Genomic DNA, 25979 nt, shown 5'->3' on the forward strand with positions numbered 1-25979 from the left:
TTTTTTTAGTATAGCAGCATGATCCAATAACCAACCTTAATTGCTAATGTTAAAGAACTTGTTAGCTTTTTAAAATTGTAGCTTACTTGTGTACTATTATATACTTCTGTATGAAATAGCTGATGATGCTTGTAGGTAACTTTTTAACTTTCAGGCACAAATAATAAATAATCTAAAGTTTAAGCACAACCTTACAGAGTAAATGTGCTTATTCTTAGCATGTCTATACTCAACAAGAAGTAAGGGAACTTCTTGGCCGCTTGGATCTTGGAAATAGAACAAAGATGGGACAGAAAGGATCCTCGGGCTTATTTCGAGCGGTTTCAGCTTTTGGTGTTGTGGGTAAGAAATCTGCCCCCCTTCTTACAATCTCTTGTTTTTTGTTTTTGTCTTCTCTACATAGACTACTTAAAGGAGTTTATAAGGCTATAAGGCTTTAAAATTATAATTACCTGTAGCTTTGGTTATTTAAAACTTCATTATCCATCAATCAGATAGCAAACAGCGTTTCTGTAGCATCTGCTTATGCACTTAGCACTGCTCAGTTTTATTTAGGATACAAACAAATATCAAAATGTTTTTGGCCTTTGAGGAGGTTGCTGTCTGTCTCATTGATGAATGAAAAAGTAAAAATTAGCTTGGACTGGACTGTAAACATCCACCCTGCCATTCGTCAGCTGGAGTAACAAATCACGTAAAACTGGATTTAAAATTAATAGGAATTTCTCCTAAGGTTAGTCTATAGTTATAAAATGTCATAACCCCCTTCTTTGGATGACTGCTTTTTTTTTTTTTTTTTAACTCACTGAGAAACTTTGGTTTCTAAAATCACAGACCATCAGAAACTTCACTGTTTGAAATTGTGTTAGTAAGATAAAACATCCCACATTTACTTGGACAACCCAAGTCACTGTGACACAGAGAAGCAGCTTTGGTTTACCAACTCAGGTGCAGAGCTTCAGAGACGAGGTTTCTGAACACAGTAGTCCATAGATATGATGATTCTGTTGTTTTCAAGGAAACAGGACCCTTGGTCTACTTCATAGTCCAAACGTGATATTGATCTCTTTAAATATCACCTTGCTTTGGTTTGAGCCTCTTCATTTAAATTTTACCTGAGCTCCACCTTTCCCCCAATTCTGTAATAACTCCTTTACTTTAGCAAGATGCTCCATGGTTTCTCTGATATGCATTGTCCCTCCTTGTGGTGAATCAATAAACCTGTCTTTACTGTACTATGGGTTTGTCCCTGATTGGTCTGTGGCAGAGGATAAAATCCAATGTACATGAAACAACTCTAAGATTATAAGTAAGAGCCAAGCTGTGTAGTATGAATTAAATGGTGTTGGAGGTCACAGAAGAGGTAAATTACTTGGACCTGGAATGGCCAGGGAAGATTTCCTATAGTAGATGAGACTTGAGCTGTACCTTGAAGGAGGAACAAGGTATGGATAAATGCAGAGAAGAAAAGAGGGAACTCCAGTAAGGGTGACAGCAGAGGCACATACATGAAGGTACCCAGAGGTGCTGGGAATGCTGGGGAGTAGTCAGGCAAGGCCAGATTGCTTTGGGCTTTGAAAGCCAAAGCAGAGGGCTATTGTATTTTAGCATCTCTGCTGCCAGCACCTTATTTTGAGTCTTTTTTTCTGTAAACACTTAGGAAATTATCTCTGTGTTTCTTAAACCTACTGGACTGTGTGTAATATTAAGTGGTTGTATTGGTTCGTTCTCGCATTGCTATAAAGAAATACCTGAGACTGGGTAATTTATAAAGAAAAGAGGCTTAATTGGCTCATGGTTCTGCAGGCTGTACAGGAAGCATAGCAGCTTCTGCTTCTAGGAGGCCCCAGGAAACTTACAATTATGGCAGAAGGGGAAGGGACAGCAGGTGTGTCTTAGATGACTGGAGCTTAATTAAGGAATGGTGGGGGAGGTGCCACACATTTTTAAGCAACACTTTTAAGCAACCAGATCTCATGACAACTCTGTATCACGAGAACAGCACCAAAGGGGTGGTTGTAAACCATTCAATCATCCATCCCCATGACCCAGGCACCTCCCACCAGGCCCCATCTCCAACAATGGAGGATTACAATGGAACATGAGATTTGTGTGAAGACACAAATGCAAACCGTATCAGTGGTTTCTACAGATATTAACAAAATTAATATGGACTTGACTATGCTATATGTTTTTCAGATTCTTATTTTGGGTCTTCTGTTTAGCACTTTCTATTTTGTGACTGTATGTCTATGAAAACTTTGATTATATTCTGCCATCCTTGGAGTTTGCTTTTCTAAGAATACTGTCGTTGCTCTTCATACGTAATCCCTTTAGGCTCATTTTGTGTGTTAGGTGGCTGCAGGGGAAGGTAAAGAGTAGTATAACATGACTGGTTTCTTCTCCTCAGGCCTGGCCCCTTTTCTATGCCTTTTGCTTAGTCTTGAGAAGGCCCTTGAGGTTACATGTTGAATGGATGAGTGTTTGTGGGAATGTGTATGTCTGTATGTGTCACGTGAGTTCATGTGCTTAAATGCCATAAATGCCAGTATGTTAAATTCCACTTTCAGTCCTGCTTATATTTTAAATTTAAGAAAAAAATACTGTAAATAAAATGTGTTTAAAATATAGTAGACTCTAATTTAAATAATAGTTACTTAATAGTTTAAGCTTAAATGTTGATACCTTATTACATTTTTTTTTTTTTTTTGAGACAGAGCCTTGCTGTGTCACCCAGGCTGGAGTGCAGTGGCGCGACCTTGGCTAACTGCAACCTCCACCTCCTGAGTTCAAGCCATTCTCGTGCCTCAGCCTCCCGAGTAGCTGGGATTACCAGTGTGCGCCACCATGCCTGGCTGGTTATTGCATTTTTTGTAGAGATGGGGTTTCGCCATGTTGGCCAGGCTGATCTCAAGCTCCTGGCCTCAAGCAATCTGCCTGTCTCAGCCTCCCAAAGTGCTGGGATTGCAGATGTGAGTCACTATGCCTGGCCACAACTTTTTTGATAGGCATTTCATAATGTGTATATACTATTGAATGCCTTATTGGCCAGATTTTATTATTCATAATTGAAGTTTTCTTGATGATTAAATGTAACGAAGTGAAAATCACTTATTGAACTGTGTGGGTTTTGTTTTGTGTGTTTGTGTCTGTGTGTGTGTGTTTTTTTTTTCTTTGAGACAGGACCTTGCTCTGTCATCTAGGCTGGAATACAGTGGCCAGTCATAGCTCGCTGCAACCTCAACCTCCTGGGCTCAAATGATCTACCTGCCTCAGGCTCCTGAGTAGCTGGGACTACAGGCATATGCCGCCACGCCCGGCTAATGTTTTTTCTTTTCTTTTTTTTTTTAGAGGTGATGGTCTCACTTTGTTTTCCAGGCTGGCCTCAAACTGCTGAGCACAAGCAATCCTCCTGCCTTGGCCTCCCAAAGTGTTAGGATTACAGGCATAAGCCACCGTGCTCAGCCTGAACTGTGTTTAAAAATAGCTGTCCTTGGGTATTCCAGAGTTGTATTGGGCTGTTTGACTTTACATTAAATGGCCTCTAGACTGCTGGACTCTTTTGTTTTTTTTTAATACTTTGGTCACCTTTTATTGTTCTTGACATGTTTGCTTTTAGCATATTCCTAGCCTCATTTTTAATCTATTGATAACCAAGCTTGTAAAACTAGAACTTTTCTTTGAATCAATTGATAACCAAGTTTGTAACCAGACGTTTAATTTACACACAAGTTTTGGTTAATAAACTCTGGGTGAGGGCTGAAGGTGTCTCCATGTTTCTTTTAAAGGTGACATTCTTAGCTATTTCTGTTGAAGTTAGAGCCCTTTTAGCTTTGAGACTGTGCATGTATGGTGAAGTCATTGTAAGATTAACCTGCAAGTAAAGTAAGACAATAACGTACTGGTAAACATTTAGTATTTTTATGGAAATGTGCCTTATGTGTCCTACTTCAGTCATGTAAATAAAGTTAAGAATCCATGAAAAGTAAACAGGGAGTAATAAAAGTCTATGATTTTTCTAGTACAAGCTTAGAAATGTAGTGGATACTGAAATTATTAACACAAAATACTTATCTTTGAAAAATGTGTAGTCTAGTTGTTAAAATAACACGTGTGAAATGACTAGAATGGTTGTGTTCTATTCTGTGGCTAAAATATTTTCTTCACTAACTTTTTGAACATGCTGAATTGGTGGAAAATATTTTTGGTGGAATGTTTTGGATTGTTGTCATGGTTTATTTAGTACACATGTCATGAGAATCTAGAACAATACTTCTCTAGGATCTGTAATAAAGGACCATTTTTCTCCCCCTCCCTCACATATATCACATGTTGCAGACCAACACCACATGTGACTTAAAACACGAGTTTAATACTATCCAAACTAGTCTATGCCCTGTGTGAGGGCAGATTCACTGATCATGCACACAGATGTTGTGGGGCAATCTAAATTGTTCTAAAGTTTCTAAATCCTTCGTCTCAATTTGTTTACTTGTCTTTTCACGGGCCGGTTCTGAAAGCTCATGGACCAGCACTGGTCCCTAGGCCATGTTTTGAATATTACTGACCTAGAGGGTTTTCCTTGCTATAAACGGATTGATCCAGTCCTGTAGCTGCCTGGCCAATTCCTGATCTGTTCCTTTGTTATTTGACAGCCAGCAGGAAGTTTGGGAAACCACTGGATGGGATCGTGAGCATCCATCACTAAGTTGTTTTATGTGGTCCTAGGGCACATGAATGGAATGACCTATAGTTCATACTACTCAGTTCTGTTATCATCCCAGCTCCTTTTGATACACAGCCCTTAGGTACGTGTCCTTTTTCTGCCACTGTCGTCTGTCAGACGACACTCTTCTAAGCCTCTAGTATGTTGAAGGGGAGTGGCAAAATAAGAAGTATCAATACGGTACACTGTGATGGACTAAGCTATTGTTTAAAACAATACCCTTACAAATAGACTGCAGATCCAAGATAACAGTGAAAACACCAAAAAAGTGTGAGTCTCAGACTAGTTAGGGGGCAGTATGATTTGGTAGTAGAGATGTCACTTTGGTTCCAGAGAGCTCTGTTGTACAAAGGCACTGGGTACCTTGCGGGGGGTTTTGTCCTTCTCTGCTGGAGTGCTGTTCTCAGTGGAGGCTTTCAAGATAATAGCTGGCTGGCATGGTGACCCCCCATACAGGATATTACACTATTCCCTGTTAGTGGGCTGATGAGGGTCCTCTCCAGCCACCAGAATTGCATACTACTCCATTCTCTCATATTGTCCTTTTTAATATACTTTGCTTGGCTTCCCTCTCAAGTGACACAGCCTTTTTTATTTTGGAGAGAGAAATCACTTTTGCATGACGACCATCATCTTGTCTTCTGGAAAGTACTCAGTGAAATTGGTCTGGGGTCAGAAGTACATAGAATGAAGATGAAGAAACTTGTTCTGGTGTTCATCATGTTAGAAGGATGAACAGGCTGATTCTTGGTGGATGTCTATGCCAAGCTGAAGCCTTTAATTGTTGAGAGACATTTCCAATTGGTAGTAACAAGGAAGTGGAAAATAATCTCATTTATAATATACTGAAGCCATTTGTGCTGGAAGAAGAGTGTCTCTTTTGTGCAGTATGTTTACTTTCCCTTATACAAATTATGAAGGGAAGTGTAGAATGATATAAATAGCCTGGTGCTAAAAACATAAAATTAAAATTCAATTAGAATGCAGGTTGAGAGAAATTATTACTAAGAATTTTTATCTAAAAAATAAATATACAGCAAGAATAAAAGGAAAACTAATTTATCTTGTAAATATTTATTATTTAATCCCAATTACATTCCATTTTTAAGTTTTTTGGTGTGTGTGCTGCTTCTGAAATGCTTACTTTTGTAAGTTTTATATTTCTGAAAGGATGACTACTTCCTAAGTTGCTTTTAGTAAAGTTGTCATCAGCTTTTTTTTTTTCCTTCCTTCCCATTCCTGTGTCCTCCAACTTTAGTGAGGTCATTTTTGGCGAGTCTCTAACCTTTTTTAAAAAACACTTTGTGTTTTGTGGATTTCTAAAATACCAATATTTTTCATTATTTTAATAGCATTTTTTTCGCAGTGGCATGGCCGATAAGATTCTTGAGGCATCTTTCCATTATAGATTTCAGCTCATTCATGTTAATGTATTCAATTAGTCATTCTTTTTTCATCAGCTGAGAATAACAAGACATAGATCATAGGTATTTGCCAATTCTAGAGCAAAAATTCAGACAGAGCACCAGGATCCTAGCTTAGACTTTATAGACTATAACACTCTGAGAGAGAGACACACACACACATACAGAGAGAGAAACAAAGGGAATGTATGTGTAAGAAAGTTCATTTTGAAAGATAGCTAGATATAAGATTCTTATATATATATATATATTTTAGTACTTTATGGCATCCCTCTTCATTCTGGCTTTCATTGCTTCTGATGAGAAGACAGCTGTATATGACTGTATCTAGCTTGCCCTGTGAGTGAGTGAGCTGGGCAGGGATGGGACCTTGTGTTCTTGGCCTGACATGCCTGGAGTAGAGCCTCTACCCTGTGAGTCGGTGCTTGGTTGAAGGAAGGAGCCCAGACCTTAGCCATGCTTGCCTGGAATAGAGCTTTTACAACACAGAGTTGGTGGGGATGAGAAAAGCTGGTGGCCTACCCCTCATGAGCAGCAATTGTGGTCCTAGACTGGGAGCTGGAGAGAGAGGAAGGAGCCCTGCCTTCTTGGCGGCACCTGCCCAGAGTAGATATCCTGTCAACGCTGAACTGGGAGGCAGTGTGGAAGGGGAGCAGGCCATGATCCAAATGCCACAGACTTGCTGTTCTTAACAAGATTTATTAGATTTTCTTGGATAAATGTTTCTCCACTTTCTGTATGCCCTTAGGGCAGTTTCCAGAAACTTTTAATGTTTTCCTTTGTTTTTATTATTTTTAGTAGTTATGGTTGTTTTCCTAGGAAAGAGTCTGCTGAGCTCCTTGCATTGCTATTTCAGAAGTGTCACCTCTTCCCCACCACCAAGAAAGTTAGTTTTAACTCCCAAAGCAAAGTTCAGGGAACCTGAAAGTTTTTGACCAAGATTATATGGCAACTAGTGTGTTGCTGAGAATATAATGCTGCTGAACATTAATGTATATGGCTCTTTCTTTAGTCACCAATATAGAACCTCTATATTCTAATGATCTGACATAAAATATAACTCTATTTATAACTCTCCAATATTCATTTAAAAACTGAACTATCAGAAATGATATTTGTGGAAGATTGCATGAAGGATATGTAATTTACTTGATACATTGTTTTGTTTGCCCAACCTATTCACTTTCCAGGGAACTGGCACCATGTCCCCTGGCCTCATCTAGGCCACCTAGTTATCATATAAAATGGCTTCCAATGCTGCATGATTCTATTTTTTGGCCATAGTTGATTGGTCCTGGGCTGGGCCCCTGACCCAAGTTGGGTCAGTCCAAGTTCTTCCCCAGGAATTCTGAAATTGAACTTGATAAAAATGTCCTTTTCTTCCCAGTAAAGGTTTTGGATGGAAAGCCCAGAGCTGTCAGCAGTTGTGTTTCCTACCACATGATCCAGAGAAGTGGAGGAGCTTGGTCTATGGAGAGAGAGAAGAATGGAGTAGATGTTCAGAGACATCTTGACTAGGCTTTTTCTGAGGCCCAGTCACACTGTTTCCCATGTGTGGAATGGATCACTTCAGGATCCTTAATATAAATTCCTTTTTTTAGTTTAAGCTGACTCAAATTGGTTTTTGACATTAATTATCAAGAGTCCATGAAGTTTGTTCTTTTGGGCAATATTTCCCAAAATATGTTCCTCAGAACGTATATCCATTGGTTTTTGTTGTTGTTGTTTTAAGGCGGGGGGTGGGAGGAGGTTCCACGAACAAACGAATCTGGAAAGGCACTTGGTTTTTATCTCCCATCAAGATTCACGGTGTACTTTAGCACAGTCCTATAAGGTTCTCAGGATTTTTGTTTTAAGTTTCTTAGTCCAGTATTATTTGCTCACTGCCACTCCTCTCCCCCCTGGGATTCCATTAACTAATATTTCATGGAGAACACATTTGGGGAAATGTTACCAGAGATACTTAGATTTTTATCTTCAGATGAAATTAGACCTCCGTTCAGCTGTGTACCTTGCCTGCATTCTTCTAGTTTGTAAAGAATGACATTTATTGAATTGTGCCTTGGCATATGAAACAGCATTGAGAAATGTGTGCTTGACATCGCTGGAGAATTCTCCTGAGGTTGTTCTCTACAGCACATATCTTTTTATGTGGACTCACTCTGAAATTGTCTCCCAGTTCTTGTAACTGCTGTAGCTTCTCCAAGTAGTGGTTTAGTTTTTATCTTTCAGCCACTGTGCATGGTATAATTGGATGTGTGTTCCTCTTTGCATTATCTGTTAGAAAATGGAGAGCCAAATGTGGGGAATAGTACATAGGATCTTAAGATGCATTCTTATGTACAACTTTTATTTTTGGACTCATCTTACTATGTTTTTAAACATTATTTCCTTTACTGTAATTTCCTCTTCATTTTTATAATCCTTTGTGTGTGTGTGTGTGTGTGTGTGTGTGTACATATATATATATATATTTAATTTTGGTAAAAAACAGAATTTACCGTCACAATCATTTTTAAGTGCACAGTACAGCAGTGTTAACTGTATGCATCTTGTGCAACAGATCTTGAGAATTTTTTCATCTATGCAAAACTAAAGCTCTATACCCATGGAACAACAACTCCTCTTAATCTTATATCTATTTGTGCTTAAGGCACCTCAGTCCTATTTGCAGTGAGACTAAGAGGAATGAATGAATTAAATTGTTTAGAGTAATTTTTTTTTAAAATTTAAGTTCTGGGATACATGTGCAGAATGTGCAGGTTTGTTACATAGGTATACACACATGCTGTGGTGGTTTGCTGTACCTATCAACCCACCATCTAGGTTTTGAGCCCCACATGCGTTAGGTATTTGTCCTAATGCTCTTCCTCTCCTTGCCCCCACCCCTCGACAGGCCCTGGTGTGTGATGTTCCCCTCCCTATGTCTATGTGTTCTCATTGTTCAGCTCCCACTTATGAGTGAGAACATGCGGTATTTGGTTTTCTGTTCCTGTGTCAGTTTGCTGAGAATGATGGTTTCCTGCTTCATCCATGTCCCTGCAAAGGACATGAACTCATCCTTTTTTATGGCTGCATAGTATTCCATGGTGTATATGTGCCACGTTTCCTTTATCCAGTCTATCATTGATGAGCATTTGGGTTGGTTCCAAGTTTTTGCTATTGTAAAATGATGCTGCAGTAAACATATGTGTGCATGTGTCTTTATAGTAGCATGATTTCTAATCCTTTGGGTATATACCCAGTAATGGGATTGCTGGGTCAAATGGTATTTCTGGTTCTAGATTCTTGAGGAATCACCACACTGTCTTCCACAATGGTTGAACTAATTTCCACCAACAGTGTAAAAGTTTTCCTGTTTCTCCACATCCTCTCCAGCATCTGTTGTTTCCTGACTTTTAAATGATTTCCATTCTAACTGGTGTGAGATGGTATCTCATTGCGGTTTTGATTTGCATTTCTTTAATGATAAGTGATGATGAGCTTTTTTTCATATATTTGTTGGTTGCATAAATGTCTTCTTTTGAGAAGTGTCTGTTCATATCCTTTGCCCACTTTTTGATGGGGTTGTTTGTTTTTTTCTTGTAAATTTGTTTAAGTTCCTTGTAGATTCTGGATATTAGCCCTTTGTGAGATGGATAGATTGCAACAATCTTCTCCCGTTCTGTAGGTTACCTGTTCACTGTGATGATAGTTTCTTTTACTGTGCAGAAGCTCTTTAGTTTAATTAAATCCCATTTGTCAATTTTGGCTTTTATTGCCATTGCTTTTGGTGTTTTAGACATGAAGCCTTTGTCCATGCCTGTGTCTTGAATAGTATTGCCTACGTTTTCTTCTAGGGATTTTATGGTTTTAGGTTTTATATTTAAGTCTTTAATCCATCTTGAGTTAATTTTTGTATAAGGTGTAAGGAAGGGGTCCAGTTTCAGTTTTCTGCATATAGCTAGCTGGTTTTCCCAGCACCATTTATTAAATAGGGAATCCTTTCCCCATTGCTTGTTTTTGTCAGGTTTGTCAAAGATCAGATGGTTGTAGATGTGTGGTGTTATTTCTGAGGCCTCTGTTCTGTTCCATTGGTCTATATATCTGTTTTGGTACCAGTACCATGCTGTTTTGGTTACTGTAGCCTTGTAGTATGGTTTGAAGTCAGGTAGTGTGATGCCTCCAGCTTTGTTCTTTTTGCTTAGGATTGTCTTGGTGTCTTGGCTATGAGGGCTCTTTTTTGGTTCCATATGAAATTTAAAGTAGTTTTTTCTAATTCTGCAAAGAAAGTCAATGGTAGCTTGATGAGAATAGCATTGAATCTATAAATACTTTGGGCAGTATGGGCATTTTCACAATATTGATTCTTCTTATCCATGAGCATAGAATGTTTTTTCATTTGTTTGTGTCCTCTCTTACTTCCTTGAGCAGTGGTTTGTAGTTCTCCTTTAAGAGGTCTTTCACGTGCCTTGTAAGTTGTATTCCTAGGTATTTTATTCTCTTTGTAGCAATTGTGAATGGGAGATCACTCATGATTTGGCTCTGTTTAGAGTAATATTTTTAAGTGAGGTAAATGTCAGTATAGATAGTCTTAGAGAATAATCCTAAGACACCTGAAAATTTGTATGGCTATAAATCATAGAAATAATAAAGTGAGAAATGTATCAAAGGTCTTTGGCCTTTTAAATAGGCATCTAAAAGCCATTACTAAGTTTATAAAGCATATTTCTCTTTATTTTTTGTTGCATAGGTTTTGTCAGGTTCTTAGAAGGCTATTATATTGTGTTAATAACTAAAAGGAGGAAGATGGCGGATATTGGAGGTCATGCAATCTATAAGGTCGAAGATACAAATATGATCTATATACCCAATGATTCTGTACGGGTTACTCATCCTGATGAAGCTAGGTATGTATGGTGGTAACTACCTTTTTTTTTTTGGAGACAAGGTCTTGCCCTGTTGCCCAGGCTGGAAGGCTGGAATATAATGGCATGGTCATAGCTTGCTGTAGCCTTGGCCTCCCAGGCTCAAGTACTTTTTTTTAATGTCGTAGATCAGGTAGAAAATAAAATACAGTTTAGATATTATGAATGTTATGTAAAAAGATCAAATGTTGGCTCAGAATTTTAGAATTTTTGTTAAGAGCTGTTAAAGACTCCATTATAGCAATTGGCAAGAATCAACAATGGCTACTATTAGGTGAGAGGTTGTTATTGAGGAATAGAATAATCACATAGTCCCAACATTTTAAACTCCATGGATCTCTTTGTTATTTACAGAGGAATAAGTATTTTTATGATGAAAAAAACAGCAGACATTCTTATCCAAATAATCAAACTTCACATCACCAATAATGAGACGAAACTGACATTGTTTGACTCTCAGTGGGAAGGACACAGTTTACCTTAGTAGTTAAATATTGCTAAAAATATTTAACTTGAATCTAAGCATGGGGAAATAATCAGATAAATACATACCACTGGACTTCCTGCAAGATAACTGGCCTAGATTCTTAAAAGAATGTAAAAGTCATCAAAGACAAAAAACAAAAGACTGTTCCAGATTTTTAAACAGACGTGACAACTAAATGCAGATTTTGGTCGGATTCTGGGTTAAAAGTGCATGTACTTGTACACACATCCTCACACAAAGATCTAAAGGGCTTTATTTGGACAGTTTGTATGTGGACTACATACTAGTGATCTTGAATCAGTATTTAAATTTGGAGTATAATAATGGTTTGCGGTCACTGAGGAGATTGTCCTTGTTTATAACAGATACATGCTAAAATACTTAGGAGTGAAGTGTCATGATGTCTGCTACTTACAGTCAAGTGGTTTAGAAAAATAAAATGTATTTGTATATTTAAAGAGAGATAATATTTGTTTATGTGTTTAAGGAGAGAGCGCTAAAAGTGAATTCAGAAGAAGGGCATAGTGGTGTTAATTGTACTTTTTTTTCCCTGCAATTTTTCCTGTATATCTGAAATGTTCAAAAGTTTTGGAGGAATTATTGGAACCTTGGAAACGTGGGAAAAGCTATTAACAAATTGATAAAATTGTAAAGGTTGAATTGATTTAATATTATGAAGATTAAAATGGAACAAAGAAATATTTATAAGTTTTTAGGATAGGTAACAGTTTAGATTTTAATTATATCCTGTACTTTTGTAGTGTTCCAATACATGAACCAAAATTTAAAGGTGATGCAGCCCTGTTGCTTGAGACCATCTTAGACAGTGGTTTTCTGAGCCCTTGTGATGTTGCTTTTGATGATGATTTGGAAGGGGGTTATTAGAAAATAATTTGTTTCATTTGAGGATAAGTACAGTTTATCAGAGTAGACCTTTGTCTTGCACTAACTGAAAAAGGTTATATCTGATACAGCTGATAGGAAGGCCTATATAGTGTATTGACTAAAAGTGAATCAGATTGACCAGACCATGCGAATCCAGGGATAGGAAAATTTCAAGAAGTTAATGTTGTTTATAAGTCTCATCTTTATGATACTTTAGCCAAGAATACTAATACAAATTATGTTGTTGTGTACAGTGATTTGGATATCTTTAAAGAATAAAATTATGAGTAATAACATGTAAATGGACTTATTCAGAATAAGATACAATTATATTAATAGTTTTTTATAGGTAAACTGAAGTAATATTACTAATTAGGAAAAACTTTTAATACTTATAAAACTATATAATCCAATAGTGTATCTAAGCAAAACTATTTGGTAAAATATTTGGAAATAAAATACAGTACTATTAAACATTTCATACATAATGTTTATCTCTGTAATGCATGATTGTTACCAATGTTAGAAAATTTACTAGAACAGTTCACCACATTAAAATATTGCTGGAAAAATTATCTTCTTAATGTTTGCAGAAAACATATTTGACAAAATTCAATACCCATTTGTGATAAAAGGTTTTAGCAAACTAGGAATATAAGCAGACTTTCTTAATCTGATAAATGATACCTATTAAAAACCTATATCCAAAATTGTTCTTAGAAGTGAAACTTTAAAAGCATTACTTTTAATCAAGGTAAGGAACAATACAGAGGTATCTGCCGTCACTACTAACATTCAGCCTCATACTGAAAGTCCCTAGGCAGTGCCACAAGACTAGAAAAATAAGGCATAAAGCTTGAAAAGAAAAATTACTGTCATTATGCAAACAGCATCATTTCCTACTTGGAAAATTTGAGAATATCTACAAATTCTCGGAACTGATGAAAGAGTTCAGTAAGGTGACTAAGAAAAGATGGCTGGGCATGGTGGCTCATGCCTGTAATCCCAGCATTTTGGGAGGCTGAGGTGGGAGGATTGAGCCCAGGAGGTTGAGGCTGCAATGAGCCATGTTTGTGCCACTGTACTCCAGCCTAGGTGACAGAGTGAGACCCTGCCTCAAAAAAAAAAAAAAAAGATTAAAAGAAGAAAAAAGAAAAGATCAACATGTAAGACATACAGGAACCAGTAATATTTCCACACACTAGCAGTAACGAACTAGAAAATGTATAAGGTACCTGCCAATAAATATAACAAAAGCTATCCAAAACCTTATGGAAAAAACTTCAAACATTATTAAAAGATTTTTTAAATCTCTACATAATTGGAGAGATGTCCCTTTTTCATGGATGAGTCTTGATATCTTGAAGATGTTAGTTTTCTCCAAAATTAATTTATAATTTTTTTTTTTCTTGAGACAAGGTCTCACTCTGTTACCCAGGCTGGAGTGCAGTGGTGCAATCTTGGCTCACTGCAGCTTTGAACTCCTGGGCTCAAGTGGTCCTCCCACCTCAGCCTCCCCAGTAGCTGGGACTACAGACACATGCCACCACGCCTGACTAATTTTTGTATTTTCGGCAGAAATAGGGTCTTTCTGTGTTGACCAGGCAGGTTTTGAACTCCTGGGCTCAAACAGTTCTCCCACCTCGGCCTCCCAAAGTCCTGGGATTACAGACATGAGCCACAGGGCCTGGCCAGTTTATAAATTTAATGTAACATTGATCCAGATTCCAAGAGGATGTTTTGAGAATGGAACTTGACATGATTTTAAAAGTCATATGGAAAAGCAAATGTCTAAGCATGGTCCAGACAATTGAAACAAGAAAAACAAGAAGGGATAAAGTCAACAAGATGGTAAGACCTATAATAATTAAGATAATCAGGTAGTAAGCTATAGTAAATAAGACTGCTAAGTATTGGTGGAGGAATTGATGGGGGTCAATGAACAGTGTTGAGAAAGCCTAGAAAAAGATCCATTTTATGTGGCAAACTGGAATATGATAGAGTGAGCATTACAAGTCATTGGGGGAAAAGATGGGATAAATAGTGTTGGTTTTCCAGTTGGACAAAAATGAAATTTGATTCCATTCTCTGATAATATTCAGGAAGCAATTCCAGAAGTACAAAGATAATTTTAAGAAAATAAAGGTAAATATTTTTATAATCCTGGTATGGAAAAGGATTTTACAAACAAAATACAAAATGCATAAACCATAAGGCAAACAATGCTATATTTGATACTGTAAATATTCAAAATGTATTTATAATCTAGACAAATTTTAGGAAACAAGCAGCAGTCTGAAAGTAGATATTTGTAACATATAACAATGATTATTATTTAGAATGTGGGAAGAATTTCTACAAATCAGTGAGAAAAAAATACAACATAACTGAGAAATGATTAAAAGGAACAGGCAGCTCACAGTAGAGATTCTGAACCTTACCTAGTAATTTGGGAAATGCAAATTAAAAAGGTACCATTTTATTCTCATTAGTCAGTTTGGGAATAATCAGAATATCTGCTGTCATCAAATTATAGCAGAGATGTGGGAAATGAGTTGTATACTATGAGTTATACACTATGAGTTGGAGTGATATTTTAACCACTTAGAAGAACACTTTGGCAATTCCAGCATAATTGAAAATGCACGTTATCTATAGTGCACAGTGGTTCTTGTTTCCGTGTATCTGCCCTAGAGAAACTCTTGCACATGTGTATGGGAAAACATGCATGGGATGCTCTTGGCAGCATTGTATCTTATAGTGGAGAACTAGGAAGAACCTAATGGTCTATCAGCAGACAATGGATAAATAAAGTGTGTCATGTGTAGTTGGCTTTCCTTATCCATGGGTTCCACCTCTGTGAATTCAACCAACCACAGATTGAAAATACTTGAAAAAAACTGTGTCTGTACTGAACATGTACAGATGTTTTTCTTGTCATTATTCCCTAAAGAATAGAGTATAACAACTATAGAATTACGTAGCATTTACATTGTATTAGGTATTATAAGTAATCTGGAGGTAATTGAGAGTGTACAGGAAGATGTGTATTGTGCATTATGTGCAAATACTATGCCATTTTATATCAGGAACTTGAGCATCTGCAGATTTTGTTATCTGAGGGAGGACCTGAAACCAATCCCCCACAGATACCGAGGGATGACTGTATATAGTGAAGACCAAACATTGATTACAAAGTGAACAAATTAAATCTATAACTTTCAACGTAACTAGGTTTCAAAAAATGAGTGAAAAAAGTAGGACAGTATACAAAGTTTGTAATGATTTGCATACATATTTTAAATATACAATATAATGCTATGTATTATTTAAAGATGGCTCTAATGTGATAAAAGTAAAGAGATGCATGGACTGGAAGGATTCACATCAGTGACAGGAAAATGGTTGCATTTGGAGTGAGAGAGCCGGACTGGGGAAGTCTAAAGGGAATGTTAACTTTTTAAATTGTTCGTTATTTATCTTAAAAAGGTTGAAATAGATATTTTAAAATGTGAACACTTATTAATCATGAGTGACAGAAATGTGAACATTTTATTCTATACCTTTTTTGGTGTAAAAACTTACCAACTTAAAATTGTGGTGACCCACATTGCGCTTGTTGTTGTTGCTCTCCTCTCTCCATCCTCAAAGCATTTGCAAAGCATGTTGTAAAAGCAAAAACAGCATTTACTTCTGTCTTGCCCAAAGTCTGCTGTGCCCCCTACATGTAGATGCACGACTTTGCCTCTCACTGGCATAATCAGTGGTAAGGAACAGCCAAACTATAAAGTTAAAGGTCTCCAAAGGGATGATCAATAGACCTAGAATTGCTTTGGATGTAATCCCTATTCTAGATATGGTTTGAATTCCTCAGCTTTAATGAGCATATTTACAAATATAAATGTACATATGGGTACATGTTAAACTGTGAGAAATAATAGTATTGGACAAATGAAATGTACTTTGTTTTTTTTTTTTTAGGTATCTACGAATATTTCAAAATGTGGACCTATCTAGCAATTTTTACTTTAGGTAAGTGTGAGGTTAGTTTTGCTCCTATCAATCACATAAACTTTTATATTATTTTCCAGCGGGTAAAAGCAGAATGAGAACATAGTAGTACTTCTCTTTCATTTTAGTCAACTTGTTTTATCTAAAATCATTAAAATATAGCTATTTCTTCCTTTTAAAAATCTTATATTTGAAAATCCAAATGGATAAATTAAAGGATATTTATTCACATTATAAAAATCATCGTTGTTTTAGGTAGGACTTAATGTATTTTAAAGAAATATTCTCATTTTGTAATCTTAAATTACAAAAATGAAATTTACATTCAGCCTGTAATAAGAGTTGTAACAATTTCATTGTTCAACTTTTAGTAAATAATCTGGCAAAATTGGGTAAAAACAAATTAAAAATAGGAAGAACTGTTGCAATACTGATGTACTGCTGGTGGCATTGTAAATTAACAGTTTCCTGAGAAGGAATATGGCATTGAACATACATGAAAATATGTCCTAAGAAAATAACCAGGAGCAAAAATACAACTCTCCATTGGTAAAGAGACATTTATTGCTTCTCTATTTATAATAGCCCAAACAAGCAAACCAGATAATCCAGGGACGTCCCAAATATTGATAATTGAAGAACAGGCAAGTAGATTATTACAGCATCATGATAAGTATTTTACTACCATTGACGTGACCAGTATGTGGGCCTGATAGATGCAATTATTGTGATAGATGGAAAATTCTATCAGCTATAATATCCAAAATAAAAATAGAACACAGTAAGGACTTGAGTCATAAAGACTAAAGGAGGACCTAGAGCATTTGTAGCTGTTGGTGTTACATACTACTGACAGGGTGCTTTGCATTAAAAATTATTTTAAATTATTAATATAGTTAACCATTTCTTTATGAAACAAAGAAAAACATGTCTACTACATGGGGTGAATTATGTCTTTATTGATGCAAACCTGAAGGAAGTTGATTATTTTAACAGAAATGGAGTGAAGGGCTCCTAAAGAAATAGTTTTTACTTCCACACACGTTTATTGAATGTATATTTTCATTGTATTTTTCGCCATCTTCTAGTTTTCAGTCTTTATGCCTAACTTTTTAGTGTTTGTGAATTATTATTGAAGCTCAGTGCTATTGTTAGAAATGGCCTTCTTCTTCATATTTCTCAGTTTTGTCTGTATTTTTATACTGAGTTGTGATCAAGTCATTCTATAAGTAAATACATGTAGGTTAAAGTTTTTGTGCCTCATAAGTAGGCTTTTAAAAAGGTTATAATATATTCTTAAGACTCTCTAGAAAAAAGGAATTGTTTTAAATAGAAATAATTGATTGTTAAAAATCAGAAACCAACTTCTTAATATAGCTTTTATCCCTTTGAGATTAGATGCTGTTAAAATGAATGGATCCATCAAGCAAAAATGATACAATTGAACTTCACAGATGAAACAAATCAATTTCAATCAAATTATATGAATAAATAATAATTAAAATAATGTGTGTGACTCTCCAGACACAATTGTACCATTTTAAAATATGACTAAAATACTTTAAAAACAAATTTGTATAAAATATTCAAAATACCTTCTGAAATTCTGTGCTAAAAATATATAGCTAGGCTCCTTTAGAGTTTCTAGTAAAAACTGGAAAGCCCCCTCAACACTTAAGAAATATATATACACACACACACTATACATATATATAGTATAGTATATATACACAACTATGTATGTATGCATATTTATATATGCATATTTATATAGAGTATGCATATATAAATACTGTATATAAATATAGAGTATAAATATATTTATATATAGATACTTTTAAAATATCTCTAGCTATATATATAAAGAGAGCTAGAGATGCTTATTTAAAAGGTATTATGTGAGATCAAAATTGTAATGAAATTTAATTTGCACAGAGACGGTTATATTTTTGAAATGCCTTTTACTCTTCTAAAACATGTTTCACTGTAATGGCCTATATTATTTGCTTATTTCTGTTTTATGAAGTCAGTTATGATACCACCATTAATAATTAATAGAATTATTTTTGCTCCTGGGTAAACTAGGGTACAGAACTATGCAGTATTGCAGTGGATGTTATAGATCTATAAAACCCCATACAGATTCATAGAAGGTGTGACCCTGTTTGCACAAGACCATCAACTTAGATTGATTTCAGTATGAAGCAAAAAATGCACATTGTACAAATCAAATAACGTAGGTTACTGACATTGTATTGTATATTTCCAGTCATGCAGATGCCTAGTCATGCAGTGAGGTTTTTATTTCCAATTACATTTATATTTTGCTGTGTTTTACAGTGCTTATTTGAATAGCATTGCTTCCAAATAAAGTAATAGGTGCTAAGTAATTTAGTTCACAGATTTTAATTCTATATGGGCGCCAAGACCATGAAATATGCTTTGCTTTTGTAATTCTTATTAAGTTTCAATTCTGTTCTCAGTTACAGCTATGATTTGTCCCACTCACTTCAATATAATCTCACTGTCTTGCGAATGCCCCTGGAGATGTTAAAGTCAGAAATGACCCAGAATCGCCAAGAGAGCTTTGACATCTTTGAAGATGAAGGATTAATTACACAAGGTGGAAGCGGTAGGTGGTCTTGATATATCTAATGTATATTAATGTGGTATCCATGAAGTGATATCTTATTAAATTCACTCACATTTCCCTCATATTTGTCCATCCCTCTTTGCTGTTTGTCCTTACGTGGGGTTGTTTTGGATATGTGAAGTTGATCAATTCATTTTTATAGAGATATTAATCACCATGTGATTTCATTTGTAGGCCAACCACAAAATTGTATGCTGACATTTTCTAGCAATTATTCACGTACTTTTTATTGAATACATTCAAGCCTAGACTTTTACATGGTGTGCAGAGGTGAAGTTTACATGGATAATTTTTTTTAATATTAGGTAATACACACTACTTATTTTCCTTCACAGAGACCAGTTTGTTATGGTCTGAGTTTTGAAAAAGAGTTACCATGGGTTGCCTATTATGTGCTAGACATTTACATGTAATATCTCTAATCCTCATAAAAACTCTGCTTAGTAGGTATAATGCTAGTTTTATAGAATTAAAGACTAAGTAGGAAATGGAGGCCTGGAAATGAAGATCATACAGCCATGTCAGGGAATCAATGCAGCAAGTCAGAGGTCGTTATTACTTTGATCGGTCCCAGCTTGACCCATCAGTCCTGCATAGGTCTTGCCTCTGCAGGACTGCTGTGGGACCACTCAGTGCCTCATCTAGGGTGCCCCTGAAATCCTGGACTAAACCAGTCACGCAATACCTTTATCGCCAAATTTTTGGGTTGGTCTAGCACTGTAAAGCTAGAGGCATTGCTAGTATGAATGTTGTAAGGGAAGCATTTCAATAGTTAAGACACTTTAGTTGTGTTCAGCTGACTGTGGAAAGTAAGTCAATAGTGTCTTTGGGCTCCTTGCTCTGTGCAACTTAAATGATAGTGATGAACATGTGGGTGCAGAGGTGCAGAGGTAGAATCCAATCTAAAGTAGTCCCAGAAGATCTGCCCTTGCAGCACTCTCAAAAAGAGGCTGTGTTCTGTTAATGGTTTGCCAAAGGTTGTGATCAACTCTAAAAAGGTTTAGGCTGTTACTTAAACTGAATTTATCCCTGGCATTCCCCTTGACTCTTGTTAGTTTACTTGATTATCACTTGAGCTAAGGTCAAACCCAGGGCACCCTCCCTACTCCCAGATCATTAGATCACATACATTTGCCCTGGTTCAGACACTCTGGTGGTAACCCATACCACTAGAGACAGATAGAGGGCAAGACAACTGGTGTGTTTGAATATTTGCTTGCAACGCTTCTGAATGTCACAATTTGTAATACAAAAGCTGAAAGTATCACTAAATTTGCCCCACATGCCATCCAAAATCTGAATTTGAATATCTGTTCTGGGATGTGAATTAAGCCTCCAATGCTACTAAATTTTTTGCCATCTCTGGAGCAATTCTACTTGATAGATATGAATAACAGGGTGTATTAGTTTCTTCTTGTTGCTGTGACAGATTACCTAGCTTAGTTGCTAAAATAACATAAATGTATCATCTTACAGAAGTCCACAGTGGATCTCAGTGAGCCAAAATTAGCATATCAGCAGGATTGCATTCCTTTCCAGAGGCTCCAGGGGAGAATCAGTTTTCTTGCCCTTTCCATCTTCTGGGGGCTGCATTCATCCCCTGGCTTATGGCTCCCTTCCATCTTTAAGGCTACATTACATTACCTGACACTCATACTCCTGTTTTCCTCTTTGACTTACAAGGACCCTGTGATTATATTGGACCCACTTAGATAATGCAGAATAATTTTCCCATCTCAAGGTCCTGATTAGGAACCTTAACTTCATCTGCAGCTTTAATTTCTTCTTGCCATGTAATGTAACAGTTCATATTCACAGTTTCTGGTGATTAGCCTGCATACATCTTTGTCGAAGGTGAGATTATTCTCTTATCGCACAGGGGTAAACTGATAAGAAATGGAGTGAGGGTAGAAGGTATGAGAGTAGGTTGAAAAGGAAAACAATAAATTTTTAAAATAATCTTTACTGCATGTCAGGTACTTTGCATATACTATTTAATCTGAACAATATCTTTGAGGTGAGTAGTATTAACATCATTTTCTAGTTTAGAAAGTTGAAATTCAAAGACATTAAGTAACTTGCCTAAAGTCACAGAGTAAGTGACAAAACAGGACTCCTATTGATGTCTTTATTATTAATTCTCTCGTGTAATGCATTGAAAGGGCAGAGAAAGTTTAGCTTTTATGAATCAAATCTAAGTGTGGTATAGTGTATAAACAAATACTCTTAACAGATCATGTTTTGAGAAAAAAATGGTCTTTATTAACTGCTATTCAGAACCATTACAGTCTTTTAAGCTATTATCTTATAAACATACTTTTAATTTTTCACTTCATGTAAGTTTTGTAAAACTCATTGCTGTTTAATACATTTATCTGGATATGCTAAAATTATGTTTGATGAAATTAATTTATTCATAGAGAAAAGGCCTGACATCATAATAACTGCCACCTATTGGAAGTATTTGTAATACACTAGGCTTATTCTAGGCCCCTTACGTGCCTTATTAATTCATTTCGTCCTTAAAACAACCACGTGGTACAGGTGAGGGAGCAGAGGTGCCGTGCTCCCTAAGTAACACTCTTGATTGTGCCTGACCCTGCTGATGAGAGGCAGAGCCAGGAGTTGGATCCAGGAACTTTGACCTCATAGCCCTGTGCTCAACCGCTACTTCCTGCCACCTCTTGACTTTATTTATATATTTGTAACATGTCCTCAATTTCCTTGTCATTTTCTTTTCTCTCAAGAACTCTCACAAGTCAGAAAAGGGATTTCTTTGACTTTTTACAGAATCAACACAATGTTCTGGACATGAAAGGAATGATATCCACTGAAAATGGCAATGCTATTAACCAAGCATGTTACTTTGAAGTTAAAAACAGAAGTTAACTTAAAAATGAGTTGAATGTCAGCCAATTTCCATATCTTTCTGATACCAACCTTTTTTTTAATTGATACAAAATATTTTGTGTATTTATGGACTGATACAGACTTTTATTTTTCAGGGGTATTTGGGATCTGTAGTGAGCCTTATATGAAATATGTATGGAATGGTGAACTTCTGGATATAATTAAAAGTACTGTGCATCGTGACTGGCTTTTGTATATTATTCATGGGTTCTGTGGGCAGTCAAGTATCCTTTCTGAAGAAAAAGTAAGATACATATTACTAAACTTATGATGTATCAATTTGTAGACAGCTACATATGAATTATATGATTATAATACCACTCTGTGCACCCCAACAGGAAAACCTGCCCATGATACTATGTAGCAGAAATACAAAGAAGAATGCAGACTATTTGAACAGGCCTGTTATATACACATAAAGATGAATAAATAACAAGGAAGAAAATGCAATGTGATATAGGTAATAAGTGTCATGCTTATCTGGGAGAAGGAGGAGAATTACTGATAGTTGGAGAGGATGGGACAGGCCCATGGGAATAGTTGAACTTGGCCTGGGCCCTAAACAAAAGTCAGTGCCTTAGCAGCGAGAGAGATCAGGCCGAGCAGAGAGAGAGAGATCACAGCCTGGGAAACACTGTGTGTGTAGAGGTGGAAAAACACATGGGAGTGTTCTCATGGCTTGTGCATAAAACTCCCAGGAGGTAGGATATAGTGGGAAGGAGATTGGTATGTGGGAGTCAGATGGCCAGTCACCAGATTGCCTTGGTGGTCAAGCTGAGGACTTTGGGTTTGGTGCTAGAACTTTTGAAAGGTTTTGTGCAGAAGAATGACATTTGCAAAGTAGTATTTAGGATGCTTGAGTTGACAACCGTTTTCAAGCTGGATTAAGTAAAATGAAACTAGAACAAGTAACATGAGTTAGGAAAAGATTGCAGTAGTCCAGGCAAGAGGGCAAAATAGATTAAAGAGAAGTAGGTTCAGCTTTGGGTTAAGCTGATGAGTTCAATTTTGTAAAAACTTTTATTTCCTTCAGTAGCTTCATGTCTCATTAATTTGTAGCTACATTGAAGCCTTTTAATAAAGTGCAATTATGGGGTTTAAGAAGGCAGCATGTACCATCTAGAAGTGGTTTTTCGATTTTTTCTATCACCTTTTGAGATCACGTAGGGCATTTTTGCATTCAGCATGTTTTCTAGTATGTTAGACTTTTAAAGAAAAAGGCGTTTGTACATTTTCCCCCCACAGATAAGAAGTATTTGTAATGGATTTGTATTTTTCTTAGTTTTATTCTCTTTAGACATTTAAAAGAACCAAAAAAGAAACTTTTGCTTCTTCATTTTCAGTTGGGATTTGCAGTTTAATGGCCTCACATCTTTCTCCAGATCCCCAGGGTTTCTTTGTCTTATTTATGGAGAAAAACCAGTCACTTTGTCCAGCGCACTGTGAGGCCCCACTCAGGCCAGCCCTGGCCCCCCTTGGTACTTGGAACCGAAGTTACAGATCTATATTAAAATAATAATAATGTACAAAAAAAAATTTAAAGGAGTGGTTGCTTTGAGACTATTAAGTGGGTGAATGTGACTGACCATTATTATGCTTTCTTGTACCAGGAGCATTTGAGAGGAGTGGTGCCAAGGGCACAGCTGGCGAGGTTAGCCTTGAAGAGCAGCAGGGCTGCCTTCTGTGAGGGGGACGAAAGGCTAGATAAAAGCACAGAGGGATTTTGAAATGAAGATCAGTGAGATTTATGTGCTACACTTGAAAATCAGGCTCATTACTTTATAATCACTTTCAACCAGTGAGTGGTATTATCTGGTTGATCATTACTGCATAAAGAGATTTGATCCTGAATTACTTTTTTCTCTTTCCAAAAGTAAATTCTACCTGGGAAGAACACAGGTTTTTCACCACCAAGGATACCAAAAAGAATGTGCTACAATTTCTAAAGGTAGTTCCTAAAAGATAGTTCTAAGCTGTTTTGTATTTCCAAGAGCTAACTCGGGTCCTGGCACATATTAAACATAGTAAATGTTTGTTTTTTAAAATAGTGAGCACCATGATAGATGATCATTTTAAAGCTCGTAAGTTTAAACAATGAATCTAGTTTCCTGGTTATCAAGCGTTTAATGAATTCTGGAACTCTATATGATTATAAAAAGAGTAGCTTTTGATAAGAGTAGTTTATGAATACTACAGGCCAGGCACTAGTTGTACACACATTACTTCACCTAGTCCTCCTGACCACCTTTGGTTACTTTACTGTTACTCCATTTTATAGAAGATGAGACTTGGCTCAGAAAGTTAAGTAAGGCGACATAACTAATAAGCTGTATATTGGTTAAGCAGTTCACAATAAATTATTCAGTGTTCAGAATTTGCAGGTAGGTGACAAATTTTGACTGCTTTTAGAGTCTTATACTCAGTTTGTCACCTCAGTATTACATATTATTCATAATTGAAACAGCCTATTAAATGACACATGTTCTCTTTGAGAGGTGTATGATCTTGGAAGACTAAGGAAGGTGTATTAGTCCATTCTCACACAGCTATGAAGAACTACCTGAGACTGGGTAATTTATGAAGAAAAGAGGTTTAATTGACTGTAGGCTTAACAGGAAGCATGACTGGGAGGCCTCAGGAAACTTACAATCATGGTGGAAGGTGAAGGGGAAGCACGCATGTCTTCACAATGGCAGAGCAGAAGAGAGAGCGAGCAAAGGGGGAAGTGCCACACACTTGCAAACAACCAGATCTTGTGAGAACTCACTGTCACAAAAACAGCAAGGGGGACGTCCGCCTCCATGATGCAATCACCTCCCACCAGACCCTACCCTGACACGTGGGGATTACAATTCGAAATGAGAGTTGGCTGGGGACACAGAGCGAAACCATATCAGAAGGATTAGTTGTACTTGTTTACATCCTTACTTGGCCATAGGGCTTTCCTTGGCCAGTAACCCTACACCTGGTTACCATTTTCTCTGAAATTTATGGAAAGCACTCCTTAGTCAGGTTGGATATTGCCTTCCCTTTGTAGCTGCACTGCAATTCTGAAGAACCATTAGATCAAGTGCTGTTCCATTCTTGGGTGGAGCTTTTGGTGTTCTTTAAGCCATTGGACAAGCTGTATCTAAATGTTTATTTAAGGAATAATGACTCTCTTGGTCTTATGTGACAGTCATGAATGCTAAACAACCTTAACTTGATTTCCAAGAGCTGTTGATCTATGGACGACCAGTGTATGTCACTCTAATAGCTAGAAGATCCAGTAAATTTGCTGGCACCCGTTTTCTTAAAAGAGGTGCAAACTGTGAGGTAAGATGACAAACAGTATCTTCACTGACCTTTTAACCTTTTATATCAGCTTTGCTGATGTAGAAGCACAGTGAAATTTTAAGAAGTGGTATTTCTTAGTTTGGGATATTATCAAGAGAATACAGTTGCCTTTTAGTATCAACAAGGGATTGGTTCTAGGAACCCTCTTCCCATCCAAAATCCACAGATGCTGAAGTCTCTTACATAATATGGCCTAGTGCTTGCATATAACCTATGTACATCCATCTGTATACTTTAAATCATCTCTAGATTACTTCTAATATCTAATATGATGTAAATGCTATGCAAATAGTTCTAATACTGTATTGTTAAGGGAATAATGACAATAAAAAAGGTCTGCACGTATTCAGTTCAGATGCAACCATCGTAGGCCTAACTACATTTTCTGTCTGAGATTGGTTGACTCTGTGGAGGGAACCCATGGATGTGGGGGGCTGACAATAATTAATACTCCAGTGCATCTGAAACATGTGAGAAATATGACTAATATGCAGATGTTCTGAAAAGTCAGCTATCTTAGAGTTATGCAGTGCTTTGAGGAATTATAAAATGTCTAATGTTGTGGAGGGTGAGCCATTTCTATAATATATGAAATGCGGTACATGTTTAATGTAGAGACAAAAATAGCAAAGCACCTCCA

The 25979-nt window shown here is 36.6% G+C and overlaps 1 protein-coding gene across 2 annotated transcripts in view, besides 1 other annotated feature; it reads left to right on the forward strand.

Annotated features, from left to right (window-relative positions):
* Nucleotides 1–25979, forward strand: part of FIG4 (FIG4 phosphoinositide 5-phosphatase) — a 134131-nt gene that overhangs the window by 24931 nt on the left and 83221 nt on the right. For both annotated transcript variants that reach the window (NM_014845.6, XM_011536281.4), the window contains exons 3-8: nt 219–342; nt 10883–11039; nt 16411–16461; nt 18924–19072; nt 22099–22227; nt 25218–25318. In NM_014845.6, the coding sequence (NP_055660.1) occupies nt 219–342; nt 10883–11039; nt 16411–16461; nt 18924–19072; nt 22099–22227; nt 25218–25318 (711 nt within the window). The remainder of the gene's footprint in view (nt 1–218; nt 343–10882; nt 11040–16410; nt 16462–18923; nt 19073–22098; nt 22228–25217; nt 25319–25979) is intronic.
* Nucleotides 24670–24889: an enhancer, noted in NCBI's record as "active region_24932". NCBI's record gives its function as "activates an Ori minimal core promoter by ATAC-STARR-seq in GM12878 lymphoblastoid cells {active_cell/tissue: GM12878}" and the evidence as "EXISTENCE:reporter gene assay evidence [ECO:0000049][PMID:35858748]".

The sequence above is a fragment of the Homo sapiens genome, chromosome 6, assembly GCF_000001405.40.
Source record: "Homo sapiens chromosome 6, GRCh38.p14 Primary Assembly".
Taxonomy (NCBI): domain Eukaryota; kingdom Metazoa; phylum Chordata; class Mammalia; order Primates; family Hominidae; genus Homo; species Homo sapiens.